General features: G+C 38.9%; 2 protein-coding genes and 1 pseudogene across 6 annotated transcripts in view, besides 1 other annotated feature; all 3 read left to right on the plus strand.

Moving 5' to 3' along the window:
* TEX12 (testis expressed 12) lies at window positions 118-5,302 on the plus strand. Its single transcript, NM_031275.4, has 5 exons — window positions 118-233; window positions 1,999-2,077; window positions 3,165-3,276; window positions 3,369-3,420; window positions 4,518-5,302. Exons 2-5 carry the CDS (start codon window positions 2,015-2,017, stop codon window positions 4,660-4,662), a joined length of 372 nt encoding a protein of 123 aa, NP_112565.1. The 5' UTR covers window positions 118-233; window positions 1,999-2,014; the 3' UTR covers window positions 4,663-5,302.
* A 2,955-nt stretch (window positions 5,303-8,257) lies between these two features.
* BCO2 (beta-carotene oxygenase 2) overlaps window positions 8,258-17,361 on the plus strand; it is a 43,435-nt gene continuing 34,331 nt past the window's right edge. For 2 of the 5 annotated variants that reach the window (NM_031938.7, NM_001256398.3), the window contains exons 1-2: window positions 8,258-8,435; window positions 12,024-12,228. In NM_031938.7, coding sequence (NP_114144.5) covers window positions 8,348-8,435; window positions 12,024-12,228 — 293 coding nt within the window. In that variant the 5' untranslated portion in view covers window positions 8,258-8,347. Of the gene's footprint in view, window positions 8,436-9,111; window positions 9,205-12,023; window positions 12,229-17,361 lie in introns of those variants that run through there. The other 3 variants (NM_001037290.4, NM_001256397.3, NM_001256400.3) reach the window with 2 other exon arrangements.
* Window positions 10,619-10,785: a silencer, noted in NCBI's record as "fragment chr11:112048596-112048762 (GRCh37/hg19 assembly coordinates)". NCBI's record gives its function as "represses an EF-1alpha promoter that drives an FKBP-Casp9 reporter gene in an ReSE screen in K562 erythroleukemia cells {active_cell/tissue: K562}" and the evidence as "EXISTENCE:reporter gene assay evidence [ECO:0000049][PMID:32094911]".
* Window positions 13,333-14,673, plus strand: KCTD9P4 (potassium channel tetramerization domain containing 9 pseudogene 4; annotated as a pseudogene).

Consider the following 17,361-nt stretch of genomic DNA (forward strand, 5'->3'; position numbering starts at 1 on the left):
AGTTGGGGGGGGTGGTGGTGGGAGAGCTGTCACGTGACTCGTGCAGGGGCTGCTGGGAGTGCGGCGCGCTTCCCACCTCCACCCCCGAAGTCCGAGCACCCCGCGCCCGGGGTCTTCACTCCCTCGCGTTCGCTGACGAGGAAGGTCCCCATACCGCGAAGTACATTGGCCTTGGGGTGGGGCTGGAGGGATGGGCGCCTGTGAGAATGTGACGGACTGTGACACAAGGAAGGGTGCGAGGATGGAAACTTCCTCTGAGGGGCTCTAGTGGGGCGGAAACAACAGTAGGGAGGAAGTGCGGAGGGGCGGCGGGAAGTGAGGGAAAATGGAGGTGAAATGGCCTGAGGGGCTAGGATCGCGTTGAGAAGAGGGAGAAGACTAGAAGGAGACAGCTGCATGGGGCAGAGGGGACAGTGCTTAGTAACAGCCAGGTCACTAAGCCTAAGATGGCAGAGCCAGGGCAGTGGTCAGTGTTTGGCACACGACGAAGACCAGCCCGTCCACCAGGCCTGGATCTGCTGAGGCCTTGAGCCATGACAGGAAAACGAACTTATTTTTGCAGAAACAGTTACTTGATTATAAGTTTTCGTTTGACATAGGTGCACAGTGTTACTTGGGGAGAGAAGAGAAGGGGGTGAAGGGGAAAGGGAAAATTAGAAGGGGAAGGGAAGAGAGAAAAATCTGCCTGTTGGCTTCTCTGAAGTATTTTCCAACTCCCAAGGCAAAGTTAGCACTGCTGTGCATGTGTAGTATTTTCTAGATACTATTAATACTATTACAGCACGTAAACTTACATACTATAAAGGTACTGGCAGGAATGGAGACGTACGATACAGAATTTACTTAACAAGCATCATTCAAATTTGTTGTTGCTCTTTCTGTCTTCTATATATGCATATTTTATAGGACTAATCAAACAGATGTGTTAAAGTTACCCAAATCAGCATCGTTTCTCAAAAACAACAAAGTCAATTGATAACTTGAATATGGACAGGGCTCCCCTCATCTCAAAGACACAGAGACTATACCCTTCCAGGTTTCAACATTTGGACTCCTAGGGAAAATCCCTTCCGAATTTATGGAAAAGTAAAAGTAAAATTTGAAGCTACTTTAAAGTAAGGTTGGACAGTGGGAATAACCTCAGACTCGAGTGAGATCTCGGTTCTAATTTAGCTCAGTCTTACTGGTGTCACTTGATCCACCGTCACTGTCCCTGTTTTCTCACTTGTAAAAAATGAGATTGAATTAGATGAACTGTAAGACCTGTTTAAACATTAAGATTTTGTGAAGATAGAAGAATCCTTTTTTTTTTTTTGAGGTGGAGTCTCGCTCTGTTGCCCAGGCTGGAGTGCAATGGCACAATCTCGGCTCACTGCAACCTCCCTCTCCTGGGTTCAAGCGATTCTCTCACCTCAGCTTCCCAAGTAGCTGGGATTACAGGCGCCTGCCACCACGCCTGGCTAATGTTTGGATTTTTAGTAGACACAGGGTTTCACCATGCTGGCCAGGCTGGTCTCGAACTCCCGACCTCAGGTGATCTTCCTGCCTCAGCTTCCCAAAGTGCTGGGATTACAGCCGTGAGCCAGCGCGCCCGGCCGAAGATAAAAGAATCTTAACTGAGCCAGTCCTGAAACAAGGCAGAATTGCCAGAGAGACTCATTTGGCTAAGTACATAGAGAGGAGTAGTTGAAAATGATGGGACTAGTAGGCTTGCACCAGATAATACAGGACCTTGAAGGCCATATCATGGAATTTCAACTTATTCTGGAACAATGAAAGTTTTTGAGTTAAAGGAATGCAGTAATCAAAGTTTTGAAAGATTACCCAAATAGCAGTTGATAGAATGATTTAGAGGAGGGAGAAATTGAGTTTAGGAAAGTGACAGATAATGACAGTCTAAATTAACATCAGCAGTAGGAGTGGGAAACAGGGAAGGATTCCAGAGAGCTTGTAGCATGGAGTTTGTACCTAAATCTGGCATTGTTCTAAGCTTTGTAGCTGGTGCCTTCGGAATATGATGGCAAATCACCTTGTAAAGCCTGATAATAGAAATTGCAAGAGGCCAAGAGAATTGGAGGTAAGCTGTATGCCTATGGAGCCTTAATCTTTTATTCTGTTTTACATACTACTCAAATTTCTTCCCTTTAAGAAAGCTCTATAGATAAGTGGGATTTAATGTATTCGTATGCCCAGAGCTAGGATTGTCCTACAACATAGGAGGAACTATGTTGATTCCAGCTGCTTTTTCACTAAGTATAGGCCTCCAAGAAACTATTGGGAGATTTCTTTTTGGTAGCTTGAGATCTAGAGACAGAAGTGAGTCTGTGCCTTTATGATCCATAGGATTTTATGTAATTATTTTGCTGTGATAAGTAAGATAACTAGGTACTATAGTTACTGATCTTTTTAAAGAGCACAGTATCCTGTCTTTTACTACTGCCCCCACCAGTTGATCTTTTGCATTTGGGACATGATTTGCTCCCTTGAAGATTATATTATTTAGCAAAATTTCACAAGCATTTGGCTACTGTCTAAATTACAGTTTAGCTTCATTGCTATGAAAACATCTACTGGTTCAAGATACCAGACGCTTTTTCAACAGGAGTTTAAAACCACATTTAAAGTCTAATTTAAGGCTGGGCGCATTGGCTCATGTCTGTAATCCTAGTGCTTTGGGAGGCTGAGGCAGGAGTATCGTTTGAGGCTAAGAGTTTCAGATCAGCCTGGGCAACACTGCAATACATTGTCTCTGAAAACAAAACAAAACAAAACAAAATTAGCTGGGCATGGTGGAATGTTCCTGTAGTCCTAGCTACTCAGGAGTCTGAGACAGGAGGATCACTTGAATCTAGGAGGCTACAGTGAGCTAAGATTGTGTCACTACACTTTGGCCTAGGTGACAGAGCGAGAACTTGTCACAAAAACAAACAAATGAAAAGCAAAGTCTAGTTGAAAACCAAAATAAAATTTAATATATTGAGCAAGGTGTTTCTTGGGCCTGTAAATTTCCTTAATAATAAAAACTCAAATGACTAAGTCATATGCTTTCTAGCATGTTTGCCTTTTTCTGAAAAATGTTTTATTTGCTTTTTCTTAATAAACAAAATGTATATGTCCTGAAGATCTTATTGACTGTACCTGTTTTCTTTATTTTGTCCTGTTAGTCTCCAGTGCCAGATAGTCCACAGCTGTCCTCTCTTGGAAAATCAGATTCATCTTTCTCTGAAATTTCCGGACTATTTTATAAAGATGAAGCCTTGGAGAAAGATTTAAATGGTGATGTATAAAATGTTTATATTTCTAAACATCAGTCTTATAATGCAGAAGGTTTGTTATATTTTATAACTTAAATGATTTTTCTTGAACAGATGTGAGCAAGGAAATTAATCTAATGTTGTCTACCTATGCAAAGCTTTTAAGGCAAGTACTTATAGTATATTCTCTGGGGTCTTTATGTTAGTTTTCTTCTGGAAACTCTGTATTGGGAAGTTTAATTCTGTGGCTGCCAAACCTCTCCAGTAATTAAAACTTTGGAATTTTTTATTCTACCTCAGTCCCTTATAATAGATTAGTTGGTTATTTTCAGGGAATAGCGTCAACTTTTCCACTAAAAATCCTTTCTTTTTTACTCTTGCCAAGCTAATACTAGACTGTATATATCTTGGTCTGTAATTAGATGACATTACATTTTAAATTTTATGTAAATACCTCTTTGAGAAAAATGTTTGATGAAATTAATGATAACAGACTGATATTAAAGATAAATATTTATGTCATAGAGAGTCAGCCTTTCATATCCATGAATTCTGAATCTGTGGATTCAATCAACCACACATTGAAAATATTTGGAAAAAAAGGGTGGTTGTGTCTGTACTGAACATGTACAGACATTTTTTTCTTGTCATTATTTTTCAAACAATACAGTATAACAACTGTTTACATAGCATTTACATGGTATTGGTCTTATAAGTAATCAAGAGATAATTTAAATTATATGGCAGAATGTTCTTAGGTTATATGCAAATACTATGGCATTTTATATAAGGGACTTGAATATCTATGAGGGATGTTCCTTTGGTATCTGTGGGGGATTCTGGAACCAATACCCCATGGATACTGAGGGATGACTGTATTTATATTTTACCTATATCTATTTTAAGACCAAATTTAAATACTTTATTAGCCTAATATGTTTTATGAAGTGTTTTTTTTACACTGCCGGACAGTCATTATACTTGGATAGTGGTTTGTGTGGCTGTAAAAATAATGTATGTAATTGAATATTAGTGTTATAATGTATAAGATACACTTCCTGTTGTGTCAGGAGACCTTTTTGAGTAGTCAAAAATATTTGTGGGACTAATTTTTTTTTCTGAAGAGTATTAGTAAATTAATGAAGTTCTGTGGCACATAAAGCCATTTAAATGAAATAGTTAACAAATATTGTGTAATGAAGAACAACATAATGATGTTGTTTATATCTACTTAGTTTAATATACAACTTTTTTTCCTATTAGTGAGAGAGCAGCAGTAGATGCATCTTACATTGATGAGATAGATGAACTCTTCAAAGAAGCCAATGCTATTGAAAACTTTCTAATACAAAAAAGAGAGTTCCTGCGACAGAGGTTTACAGTGATTGCAAACACATTACACAGATAAAATATATACTTGAAATAAGCTGAGAATTTAAACCTATTATTGTTATAATGAAAGAATGACATTTATGCTTTGAAAGCTCTCGAGTTGTTAAAGAAAATGTATATCTCGAATAGAGAAGGGGAAACTCCTTGAATTTCTAGGTTTAAAAAGGAACTTTTAAATTCCTTAATGTTAATATTAATGTTCATGTTAATGTCCTAAGCTGGCCATTAACATGAACTACGTCACTTTTCTTTTGAGGGTCAAATATTTAGTGCATTTTATAGAAGTGTAAATTATTTAAATCTTATGTGGATTCTTTTATTTTTTCCTTAAACTTCTTAGTGTTTCTGAAACTTCTAAAAAAGGATTCAGTTAATTTATAATGTTTAATAATATTATACTTTTAGAATATTTTGTTTAAATATCAGATAGTTTTGGAGATAATTTTGAAATTTTTTTTATGGTCAGGATTATAAAAGAAGATTAAAACCTTAGAGGTGATTTTTCCAGTTTCTTAGAATATAATGACATAACTGTGTGCTATTTCCATTTGATTATTTTCACTATTAGTTATTATGTATGACTAATAAAAGCTCTCGGCTTAAAATTATTTTCTTGTGGTAAAAGTAGTAAAATAAAAACCAGAAATTACTCACCAGAACCTTGTATGAGTTGGCTTTTTTACACATCAACCACATCAACATGTGCAGTTAATGAATTATATTTAGAAACATTAGCAGCAGTGTGGTATGGGATAAAGATTAGTGATCCAGAAGTAAATAGATTGGCTTAAACAACAAGATGACTTTGGGAGGTCACTTCAATCGTATTATAATTGAGAAATTGAATTTGGACTGGAGGATCTATACTACTCATCTAGCTAAAAAAATTATCCCTTTAATGTGAAGTACTGCTATGATTTTACTGAAAACTTTCTATGTTATATATTACTATATGGGATAGCTATATTAACCAGATTTTTAAACAAAATAGCACCCATTTTTCAATCATATAGGCAGTTCAGTTTATTACATGTATATTTTTCCAATATAAGCAGTCAGAAAATTGCAAATAGTACTACAGGGAATTGTTATTCCTAAGGGAGACTGCACATTTGCCTTGCTGCCTTCTAAACTCTAAAATAAAATCTCATTTTATCACATTACTATTTTAAGGCATAAACACCACATGATGTAAATACTCATATAAGAAAAGATGACAAAAGTGAAATAAAATAATACTTGCTAAAGAAAATTGGTTAAGTGGAAAAAATTATTGGGTTGATAGAGGTGGTGGCACAGAATAGGTTGGAGGTCAACAAAGTAATTATTAGAAATGAATTTTTTTCTTTTTTGCCACTTGCAGTGGCTCCCATTTCTAATCCTAGCTACTTGAGAGACTGAAGTGGGAGGATGGCTTGAGCCCAGGAATCCGAAGCTGCCGTGAGCTATGATTGCATCACTGCACTCTAGCCTGGGTGACAGAGTGACACTCTCTCTAAAAAAAGAAGGAAAGGAAATTTTTTCAATTTTTTCTTTCTTTCCTTTGCTTTTTTTTTTTGAGACAGAATCTTGCTCTGTTACCTAGGCTGAAGTGCAGTGGTGCGATCTTGGCTCACTACAACCTTTGCCTCTTGGGTTCAAGTGATTCTCCTGCCTCGGCCTCCTGAGTAGCTGGGATTACAGGCGCCTGCCACCACACCCGGCTAATTTTTGTATTTTTAGTAGAGACGGGGTTTTGCCATGTTGGCCAGGCTGGTCTCGAACTCCTGACCTCAGGTGACCCACCCACCTCAGCCTCCCAAAATGCTGAGATTACAGGCATGAGCCACTCGCCCGGCCAAAAGGAAATTTTTTAAAACTAAATACAACAAGAAGATTTGTGAGTTAATACGACATGTCATCTGGATTTCGACCTACCATCATTAAGAAATGTTCTTTTTCTAAGCATTTATTACTAATATGAAAAATAAGGCCAACAGATTGTTTGAGACTAGATTTCATAATATACTTGTTATATCCTGATGGTATCACCATTGTTTAACATCTAGTTCTTCCCTTTGCAGGTTCAGTAAATTGATTTGATCATTTCATTTGATATGATTAAGACTGGAGAACTGATTTTAAGTCACAATGTGTTTACTGTTCAGCACTGTTCAGAATTGTTATACCTTGTAGTATAAAGGTGCCTGAAAGCCTAATCATGAAGGCTTATTTATTTATTTTTTTATTGATCATTCTTGGGTGTCGAAGGCTTATTTTTTAAATCAAATTTGGATGGCTTTGGTACCATCCACGTAGACAAGAGTAATTATCTTGGCCAGGCATGGTGGCTCACACCTGTAATCCCAGCAGTTTGAAAGGCTGAGGCAGGCAGATCACTTGAGGTCAAGAGTTCGAGACCAGCCTGGCCAACGTGGCAAAACCCTGTCTCTAATAAAAATTAAAAAAAGTAGCTGGGTATGGTGGCGTACACCTGTAGTCCCAGCTACTCAGGAGGCTGAGATAGGAGAATCACTTGAACCCGGGACACAGAGGTTGCAGTGAACCGAGATTGTGCCACTCTACTCCAGCCTGGGTGACAGAGTGAGACTCTGTCTCAGAAAATAATAATAATTATTATTATCTCACAACTGGAGAAATGCTATTGCAGGAATACTATTGCCCTTTAATTTACACTTCTAATGTTACTCTTTACTATTTCAATAAAATATCACAAATTTATAAGTTATTTTTCATTGATTACTAATCAAAATATATACCGAACTATCTTCGTACTCTGCTATATGTATTAAGACACTCCCTTCTGACAATTTTAACCACTTCTTTCTTGAAATACAATTTTGCTAGGAAAACATGATATGTTAATGTTAAAAGCAACTCTGTGGCAGTGCTGTGGGAGTTACTAGAAGACCTTTTGGTAAGGGAGTCAGAGAGGTAGATTTTAAATTGGATTTTTGAAAAGGAAAGGGGATATTTCAGGCAGGGGAAAAGTTTCTTCAGTGGCACAGAAGAACAAACGTATCATGGTATGTTAGTCACTTTGCTGGGATGATAATTCATGAAGGGGAATAGTGTATGGTCTAAACTGGAGAGCAGGGACAATCTTGTTTCTTGGTATTCTTACTTTGTAGCACAGTATTTGCTACATTGGTGCTAAAAATGTTAATAAAGTCATATACATTTTAAGGGCATACTTTCACTCATGCTAGATTGTCAGAAAATGTTCTGTAAAATTAATGAATAGAAAAGAAAAGGAAGGATGAAGTGATTTAAAGGCAGAGAAAAAGGATGAAAGGTAAATTGTTGCCAGATTGTAGCGTCCTCTAGTGGCAGTCTAAATTCGGACTTTATTCTGTGTCGGAATCTTCCAGAAGAGGAGTGGCATAAAAAAATTGATGCTGTGCATCAGGATAAACGGACTTAACTGTAGTGTGAGAACAGGTTTGAAAAAGAAAAGTTTAGGGCGGGGGAGACCACTATTGGTGGTCTAATTTTAATATTTCAAACAGCTGCGTATTATAGCTAGGGTGTTTGGACGGTTGTCATGGAAATAAGCCCCGCCCCTTAAGCTGCGTCCTCTCTTTGACCTGTCAGTGAGGGAGGGACAGTCCAGGCAGTTCTGTGCGTGTTCACTGTTTAGTAGTACTCAAAACTGCCAGTGTGAGAGGATTTGGAAATCACTGGATCTGCTCAATACAAAAATGTTTTTTCGAGTCTTTCTCCATTTTATCAGGAGTCATTCTGCCACTGCAGTGGATTTCCTTCCTGTGATGGTGCACCGGCTCCCAGGTAGAGGGTTTGCCCCTTTCTCTTCCTCATCCTCCTCTTCTTGCCAGTCTGCGCTTAGAATTCTGTGCCTCTTTCCTGAAGGTTGCTGGGAGCTTCTGAAGCTTTGTGTCCTGTGTGGCTCAGATGAGATAGCAATTCCGCAGAGTCCTGGAAGTTAAAGAAGGCTGAGTTAGGATTGTTTCCTCATGGTCAGGGAAACAGCCTTCACATTTGTATATTTTATGCAATATTTAAGGCAGGATTCAGGGACTTGGTATTCTTTGGGATTTGCAATAAGAAGAATATTCAATATTTAGGCTTTTCTAAATTGAAAAATCACTGCCACACGTTCTAATGTAATTGTTTGGTTTCTCTATTTGCATTTTGCGGGGACTGCCTTAAAACTCATTTATGTTTTATAGCCTTCTATTATAGTTACCATTGTTACATGATTTTATGTATAGAAATTGGCTGATCTAGAGCTTTCAGAAATCATACTAATATGCACTATAAATTTTAAAATTACTTAATGTAGTAATTTAATGTTTGCAGTATGCAAGGGAATGTATTACGTACTGGAAGGAGAGAGGAGACAAACACCAGACCCTGTACTCAAGGAGTACTGGTAGTATCATTTATCATACAAGACAGATAAGATAAGGTCCATATGAGAGCTATAAACAGATGCTGTGAGTTCAGACTAAGGAGAATCAGTTCTTGCTGTAGGTAAGGGGAATGCTGTGTTTATAAAGCAAATGACATGGCAACTGGATCTTGAAGGATGAGTTAGGTGAGTAAATTTCATCTGAAGGAGTTGGGAAATATCCTAGATGAAGAAAATTGATTGGCGGGGGGGGGGGAATTAAACATTCTATTTTGACATGTTGAAAGTCACCTGCAAGAAGTAATTGATGAAATTAAGAGACTAGATGAGATTGCCAAGGGAGAGTGCTGAGATTAAAGATCCAAGGTAGGACCTTAGGAACATTCATGAAGTGGTAAGGGGGATAAGGAGCCCATAAAGGGAATTAACATTTGGAAAGCATCCACTATCTTTATATTTGATTATGACAACAGACATAAACAGGAAGTATTAACCTCCTTTTATTTCCATTTTATCATGGAAAAACCTGAGGCTCAGAGACATTAAGTAACTTGCCCAAGGTTGTCAGCTAATAAGTAATAAAACTAGCAGAATGCAGAGAGTAGTTATAGGGCAGCAGGAAAGTTAGAATAGGACAATGTCTCAGAAGCTACGAATAGAAAGGAGTTTAAGAAAGTGTTAATGTCAAATTCTATGGAAACTTTGAAGAGCATGTAGCAGATTACCAGTAGCATGCAATAGAGTATACAACATATAGACATGTAAATATTTTCTACAATGTAAAATGCTTTAAATTTGTGTATCTCTACTTAGACAAATGCCCAATCAGGCCATTCAATTTACTTAAAAAAGTAAGATGAGTAAAATTACATACCTGACCTTAGGGAATTTATTTTAATCTGAGAATAAGATAAATGGTGCATAATGTTAATAAAAGTAGAGTAACATAAATACCTGAGAGTTTCCTTCTCTATCTTTTCAAAGCATCCTCTTTGTACTTCTGATACTGTAGTTCCCAGATTTTAGTATGCTTAAGAATACCTGCTTGTCCTTCCCCAGAGATTCTGATTTATTAGGACCAGAATGGAGTCCAGGAAACTGCATTTTAGCAGTAACACCAGGTATTTCTGTTGCAAGTAGTCCTCATACCAGACTCTGAGAAACAATGCTGAAATAAAACACAGTGTCAGTGATCTGTTTACTAGGCAGTCAGTTCTTTTATTTCAGGATTCTAATGCTTTTTATTCTCAGCAGTACCAAGTACTTCGTCAACTGAATAAAATAAAGGAGATATTACACCTTATTGGACTGATCATTAAAAGCTATGTAAATATAATAATAGCATTTTTTGAGTATTCTGTTCTAAAAGCTTTACATAAACTAACTCATTTATTACTTATAGCCTTAGAAGTAATATGAATTATCATCATCACCATCTTAGAAAAGAGGAAACAGACCACAGAGAGGTGATAAGTGCCTTTCTCAAGCCTTCTTATTTAGGAGAGGGCATATTTGAAACCAACCAGTCTGGAGCCAGGTAGAGCCCCAGCTCACACCCTTAAATATTACACTGTGCTGCCTCTTAAGGGAAGTACTGTAACACTGGAGATAGACCTTGACCAATTAATGGAATTTGCTTTTTTTTTTTTTTTTGAGACGAAGTTTCGCTCTTGTTGCCCAGGCTGGAGTGCAGTGCTGCGATCTCGGCTCACTGCAACCTTTGTCTCCTGGGTTCAATGCGATTCTCCTGCCTCAGCTCCTGAGTAGCTGGGATTACAGGGGTCGGCCAACACACCCGGCTATTTTTTTTTTTTGTATTTTTAGTAAAGATGGGCTTTCATTATGTTGGCCAGACAGGTCTCGAACTCCTGACCTCAGGTGATCCACCTGCCTTGGCCTCCCAAAGTGCTGGGATTACAGACTTGAACCACCGTGCCCCGCTGGAATTTTCTTAGAACTAGAGAAAAGGACATTGGGAAAGACATTCAGGGTGAAAGAGAATTTTATTTGAAAAATCAGTAAAGAATTAGGTTTGACTCATTTGTTACATGTCATATAGGGGAGTAGAATGTCTCGTGTGCTTCAAGCTGAATTTTTGAAAGATTTGAAAGAAATGGGATAGTAACAACTTGCTAAAAGAATGCAAATCTCACTTCTTCAGAGTAATAGTGTCCCTATATGTTAGCTCATTTTTCTAGCCTAGATTTCTGAATCACTCTTAAACTTTTATGAGATAAAGAATTCTATTTTATAGCACTTAATTATTTATTTGACCACCCCTCTATGTTAGGCAGTACTGCCTTGTGAACACTCAGTAATGTTAAAATAATAGGGAGAAGTTTCAGTTCCTTATTATACAACTATGATTTTTACTTCTTGTGCCTTTTGCACTTTAGGTAATTTCAGACTGGATATCACTGCATAATTTAATTTTTGACACCCTTCTACTGGAAAATGCCTTGTATTTTCATGTATATGCCATTAAAATAAAAGGAATTAAATTTAAGATCTTATTAAATTCACAGGAATCGCTATGAAGTCTTTGGAATCACATTCTGGTATATCTAAATTACTGGGGTCAATATAATTGGATAATATTGAATGGTGGTCATTTTTATAACAACGAGGTTGCTCTTAGCACATCTGGGGTTGGCATGTAGATTTATTCTTGTAAAAAGACAGGTATTGTTCAACTATGAGAAATGATAAAAATAGTAATTGAAGTCCTAAGTTAGTTCTTAGGCAGATTAGTAGTCCTAAGTTAGTTCTTAGGCAGATTAGTACTACAAAAAATAGAAGAATTGTTGTGGGTTGAAAATGGAGAACCAAAGCGTTGATAGTCTGGGAATGAGGAAGGAGAGAGAAGAAATTTGGAGCCTGTATTTGGTGTTAGGTTTATGTTTCCCTCAAGCTGCCAGTTGATAAGATTATTGTCTGTGGGAAACAGGCAAGTTTATAGAAGATTTGGTAAAATATTTTTTGTGCTTTTGGTTTCCTCTGCACAGTTTTCAAAAGGTACATGGGAAATACTCCTCAGAAAAAAGCCGTCTTTGGGCAGTGTCGGGGTCTGCCATGTGTTGCACCGCTGCTGACCACAGTGGAAGAGGCTCCACGGGGCATCTCTGCTCGAGTCTGGGGACATTTTCCTAAGTGGCTCAATGGCTCTCTACTTCGAATTGGACCTGGGAAATTCGAGTTTGGGAAGGATAAGTAAGCCTTGATTTTGGAGAACAACTTGGATTTCTTGGCATGGGCTGGTTCTGTGGAATATGCATTAATATCTGCTTCCTCTGTGAGGTTAATATTTCCATTCCATCCCTTTGATTACAGATAAAGAAACTGTAGCCTAGAGGAGAAGAAAGGAGACTTTTTAAACAAAATGTCCTGCTTTTTCTGCTCTGTAGACTATTGTAAATTTGAAGCCCTCTGTGGTTTGTACCAAAAGAAGAGAGGTGTCAGAAGCTGTCAGTGTGGTGACTGAGCTGTTTCCCCACAAGTTCCTGAAGGAAGGGCAATGTCTCCTCATACCACTCTCTCCCTCACCCAGCACTTGCCAGACACATGGTCTTTTTCAGTTCCTCAAACTGGGCACAGTTGTATCTTCTCAGCATCTTAGCATTAGTTCTCTCACCTATGTTCCCTAATCTTCCCAAGACTGGTCTTTTCATTCAGATGTCAACTCAAATCTCATGTCCTTTGAGCCTTTCCTGATCTCCCAACATAAAAATGCCAGCACAGTCATCCCTCAGCATTCACAGGGCATTGGTTAGAGGACCCCCTAAACACCAGAATCCAAGTATGCTGAAGTCCCTTATATAAAATGCTTTTATTTGCTTTTAACCTACATATATCCTCCCATTATCTTTTAAATCATCTCTAAATTACTCTATAATACTTAATACAATGCTTACACATACTTCATTCCCATGGATTTGTCTTAGTACTCAGCAAATTCAAGTTTTGCTTTGCAGAACTTTGTGGCATTTTTTTCCCACAATATTTTTGACTCAAGAGATTGGTTGAATCCACAGATGTGGAATATATGGATATGGAGGGCTGACTGTATTAATTATAATTACCTATTTTAATTCTCTACACAGTGTTATCAGTGTCTGGTATTTTTTATTTGTTATTTGAGTGTTAAGCTCTGTTCCCCCACTAGAATGTAATTTGATGAGGGTAGAGACTTTTTCTAGTTCATCCTGTATCCCCACTACCTGTAACAGTGGTCTGCACCTGAATAGCATTCAATAAATCGATGCCAATAAATGAAAAACCCAGGCAGGCTGAGGAGCCTAGAAGCAGGGTGGGAAGGAGGACTGGCTGAGCCCTGGGTGTGGGACAGAGTGCATGTGTGTGGTGTGTCCCCAAGGGCAGAAAGGTGGCGAAGGGAGGCGAATCCAAGTGGGTGGAGGGGGGGAAGGGCGGGAGGAGAAAAAGGTGGGAGGAGGACCAGGTGGGAGGGTGGTGGCCCACTCAGGACCCAGTGGGGGCAGCGTGATGAGGCGGATGACCCTGTTCCTGAACGGCAGCCCCAAGAACGGAAAGGTAGTTGTTGTATATGGAACTTTATCTGATTTGCTTTCTGTGGCCAGCAGTAAACTCGGCATAAAAGCCACCAGTGTGTATAATGGGAAAGGTGGACTGATTGATGATATTGCTTTGAACAGGGATGATGATGTTTTGTTTGTTTGTGAAGGAGAGCCATTTATTGATCCTCAGACAGATTCTAAGCCTCCTGAAGGATTGTTAGGATTCCACACAGAGTGGCTGACATTAAATGTTGGAGGGCGGTACTTTACAACTACACGGAGCACTTTAGTGAATAAAGAACCTGACAGTATGCTGGCCCACATGTTTAAGGACAAAGGTGTCTGGGGAAGTAAGCAAGATGATAGAGGAGCTTTCTTTTTTTTTTTTTTTTTTTGAGACGGAGTCTCGCTCTGTCGCCCAGGCTGGAGTGCAGTGGCGGGATCTCGGCTCACTGCAAGCTCCGCCTCCCGGGTTCACGCCATTCTCCTGCCTCAGCCTCCCAAGTAGCTGGGACTACAGGCGCCCGCCACTACGCCCGGCTAATTTTTTGTATTTTTAGTAGAGACGGGGTTTCACCGTTTTAGCTGGGATGGTCTCGATCTCCTGACCTCGTGATCCGCCCGCCTCGGCCTCCCAAAGTGCTGGGATTACAGGCGTGAGCCACCGCGCCCGGCCGAGCTTTCTTAATTGACCGAAGTCCTGAGTACTTTGAACCCATTTTGAACTACTTGCATCGTGGACAGCTCATTGTAAATGATAGCATTAATTTATTAGGTGTGTTAGAAGAAGCAAGATTTTTTGGTATTGACTCATTGAACACCTAAAAGTGGCAATAAAGAATTCTCAACCACTGGAGGATCATTCACCAATATCCCAAAAGGAATTTGTCCGATTTTTACTAGCAACTCCAACCAAGTCAGAACTGTGATGCCAGGGTTTGAACTTCAGTGGTGCCGATCTTTCTTGTTTGGACCTTCGATACATTCACTTCAAAATGGCCAGTTTAAGCTGCTGTAATCTTGCACATGCAAATCTTTGCTGTTCAAATCTTGAACGAGCTCATCTCTCTGGATCAGTGCTTGACTGTGCAAATATCCAGGGAGTCAAGATGCTCTGTTAATGGGAGAAAATTTTTGCAATCTACCCATCTGACAAAGGGCTAATATCCAGAATCTACAAAGAACTTAAACAAATTTACAAGAAAAAAATCAAACAACCCCATCAAAAAGTGGGCAAAGGATACGAACAGATACTTCTCAAAAGAAGACATTTATGTAGCCAGACACATGAAAAAATGCTCATCATCACTGGCCATCAGAGAAATGCAAATCAAAACCACAATGAGATACCATCTCACACCAGTTAGAATGGCGATCATTAAAAAGTCAGGAAACAACAGGTGCTGGAGAGGATGTGGAGAAATAGGAACACTTTTACACTGTTGGTGGGACTGTAAACTAGTTCAACCATTGTGGAAGACAGTGTGGCGATTCCTCAAGGATCTAGAACTAGAAATACCATTTGACCCAGCCATCCCATTACTGGGCATATACCCAAAGGACTATAAATCATGCTGCTATAAAGACACATGCACACCTATGTTTATTGTGGCACTATTCACAATAGCAAAGTCTTGGAACCAACCCAAATGTCCATCAATGATAGACTGGACTAAGAAAATGTGGCACATATACACCATGGAATACTATGCAGCCATAAAAAAGGATGAGTTCATGTCCTTTGCAGGGACATGGATGAAGCTGGAAACTATCATTCTCAGCAAACTATTGCAAGGACAGAAAACCAAATACCGCATGTTCTCACTCATAGGTGGGAATTGAACAATGAGAACACTTGGACACAGGATGGGGAACATCACACACTGGGGGGCCTGTCATGGGGTGGGGGGAGCACGGAGGGATAGAATTAGGAGATATACCTAATGTAAATGATGAGTTAATGGGTGCAGCACACCAACATGGCACATGTGTACATATGTAACAAACCGGCACGTGGTGCACATGTACCCTAGAACTTATATATATATAAAAAGATGCTCTGTTCTAATGTGGAAGGAGCATCCCTGAAACTGTGTAATTTTGAGGATCCTTCTGGTCTTAAAGCCAATTTAGAAGGTGTTAATCTGAAAGGTGTAGATATGGAAGGAAGTCAGATGACAGGAATTAACCTGAGGGTGGCTACATTAAAAAATGCAAAGTTGAAGAACTGTAACCTCAGAGGAGCGACTCTGGCAGGAACTGATTTAGATAACTGTGATCTGTGTGGGTGTGATCTTCAAGAAGCCAACCTGAGAGGGTCCAACATGAAGGGAGCTATATTTGAAGAGATGCTAACACCACTATACATGTCACAAAGTGTCAGATGAGAAATTTTAGGGACTGGAGGAAGATCTACAAGATGAAAATATTTTCCTTATCACTTTTCTTTCTCCATCCACTCAGTTGTCTAGAAGAAATAACACTATAAGGAAATTTTAAAAAAACATTTAGAGGATTATGCTTGTTCTCAGCGGTGCATAATGGAAAAAACTGACTTTTTTCCATCTTCTGATTTTTAACAGAAAAGCACTCATTTAATAGATGTAGGGAAACTAGATATTGCTGCTTTTTGAACGGGGTAGGAGGGTTTACCTAGTTTTATGACCAGGAATAGTATCTATTATATTTGCTTTTAAATAGGCATGATGTGGAAATACCATCTTGGTTTGAGATGCATTTGAGGATTTTAATTTATGGAAAGCACAACATATGCAATTATATTTATTGAATACCTAGATGCAGTATGGATATTTAAATTGTTAAAACTTTATGAAAACTTGGTAAAGGTTGTTTAGGTTTATAAATTGCTTTAGTGATTCCTCCCCTCTTTAAATACCTGTCACACTGTATGAATATGGTGAGATCAGACTCCTTAAGACTCTTTTCAGGTTCGTTTTTACAATGTTTACTTTTTAGGAAAAAACAGTAGCTAAATTAAAGTAATATCCAGTTCTTACTGATTGAAACAGAGTGGAAAGAAAGACATTGTTGTACATCACTGTCATTCCAAAGGTACAGTAGAACTCTGGATGGAGGAAGAACTTACCTATCACTACAACACTTACAAATGAGAATTTCTCAGAATTTCATTCTAGGCAAGTTCCACTGAACACCAGACCAAGCAATTCTGTCTGTTTACACTATTAGCCTAGTTTTCTCATACAATCATCACAAGCATAGGAAGATACTTCAAAACCAAAAAACCAAGGTGCATCATTAATATTCATTTAATTCAAATACCAAATAGTTTACATAGGGCCAGCTTAGAAATAGATACTAAATCCAGAGCTACTGCAATCAAAGCTTATATTAATGAATATGGTTGAGTTGTCTGCTAAAGGCCAATGTAATATAATTGCAGCTAGAACCCTACAGTGGGGAATGAGGAATTTTTTTTTTTTTTTTTGAGACAGAGTCTCGCTGTGTCGCCCAGGCTGGAGTGCAGTGGTGCAACCTCGGCTCACTGCAAGCTCCGCCTCCCAGGTTCACATCATTCTCCTGCCTCAGCCTCCCGAGTAGCTGGGACTACAGGTGCCCGCCACCACGCCTGGCTAATTTTTTTGTATTTTTAGTAGAGACGGGGTTTCACCGTGTTAGCCAGGATGGTCTCGATCTCCTGACCTCGTGATCAGCCTGTCTTGGCCTCCCAAAGTGCTGAGATTACAGGCATGAGCCACTGTGCCTGGCCTGGGAATGAGGAATTTTAAACACACATTTGATTACGGCCACCAAAAAATATATATAAAGTAAA

This window comes from Homo sapiens, chromosome 11 (assembly GCF_000001405.40).
Source record: "Homo sapiens chromosome 11, GRCh38.p14 Primary Assembly".
NCBI classification, from domain to species: Eukaryota; Metazoa; Chordata; class Mammalia; order Primates; family Hominidae; genus Homo; species Homo sapiens.

Bases quoted from the DNA above. Each gene is read 5' to 3' on its own strand.
- TEX12 (NM_031275.4), top strand. From the start codon at position 2,015: ATGATGGCAAATCACCTTGTAAAGCCTGATAATAGAAATTGCAAGAGG. The intron at 3,277-3,368 runs GTGATGTATAAA...TTTCTTGAACAG, and splicing joins CTTGGAGAAAGATTTAAATG to ATGTGAGCAAGGAAATTAAT. The intron at 3,421-4,517 runs GCAAGTACTTAT...TTTTCCTATTAG, and splicing joins ACCTATGCAAAGCTTTTAAG to TGAGAGAGCAGCAGTAGATG.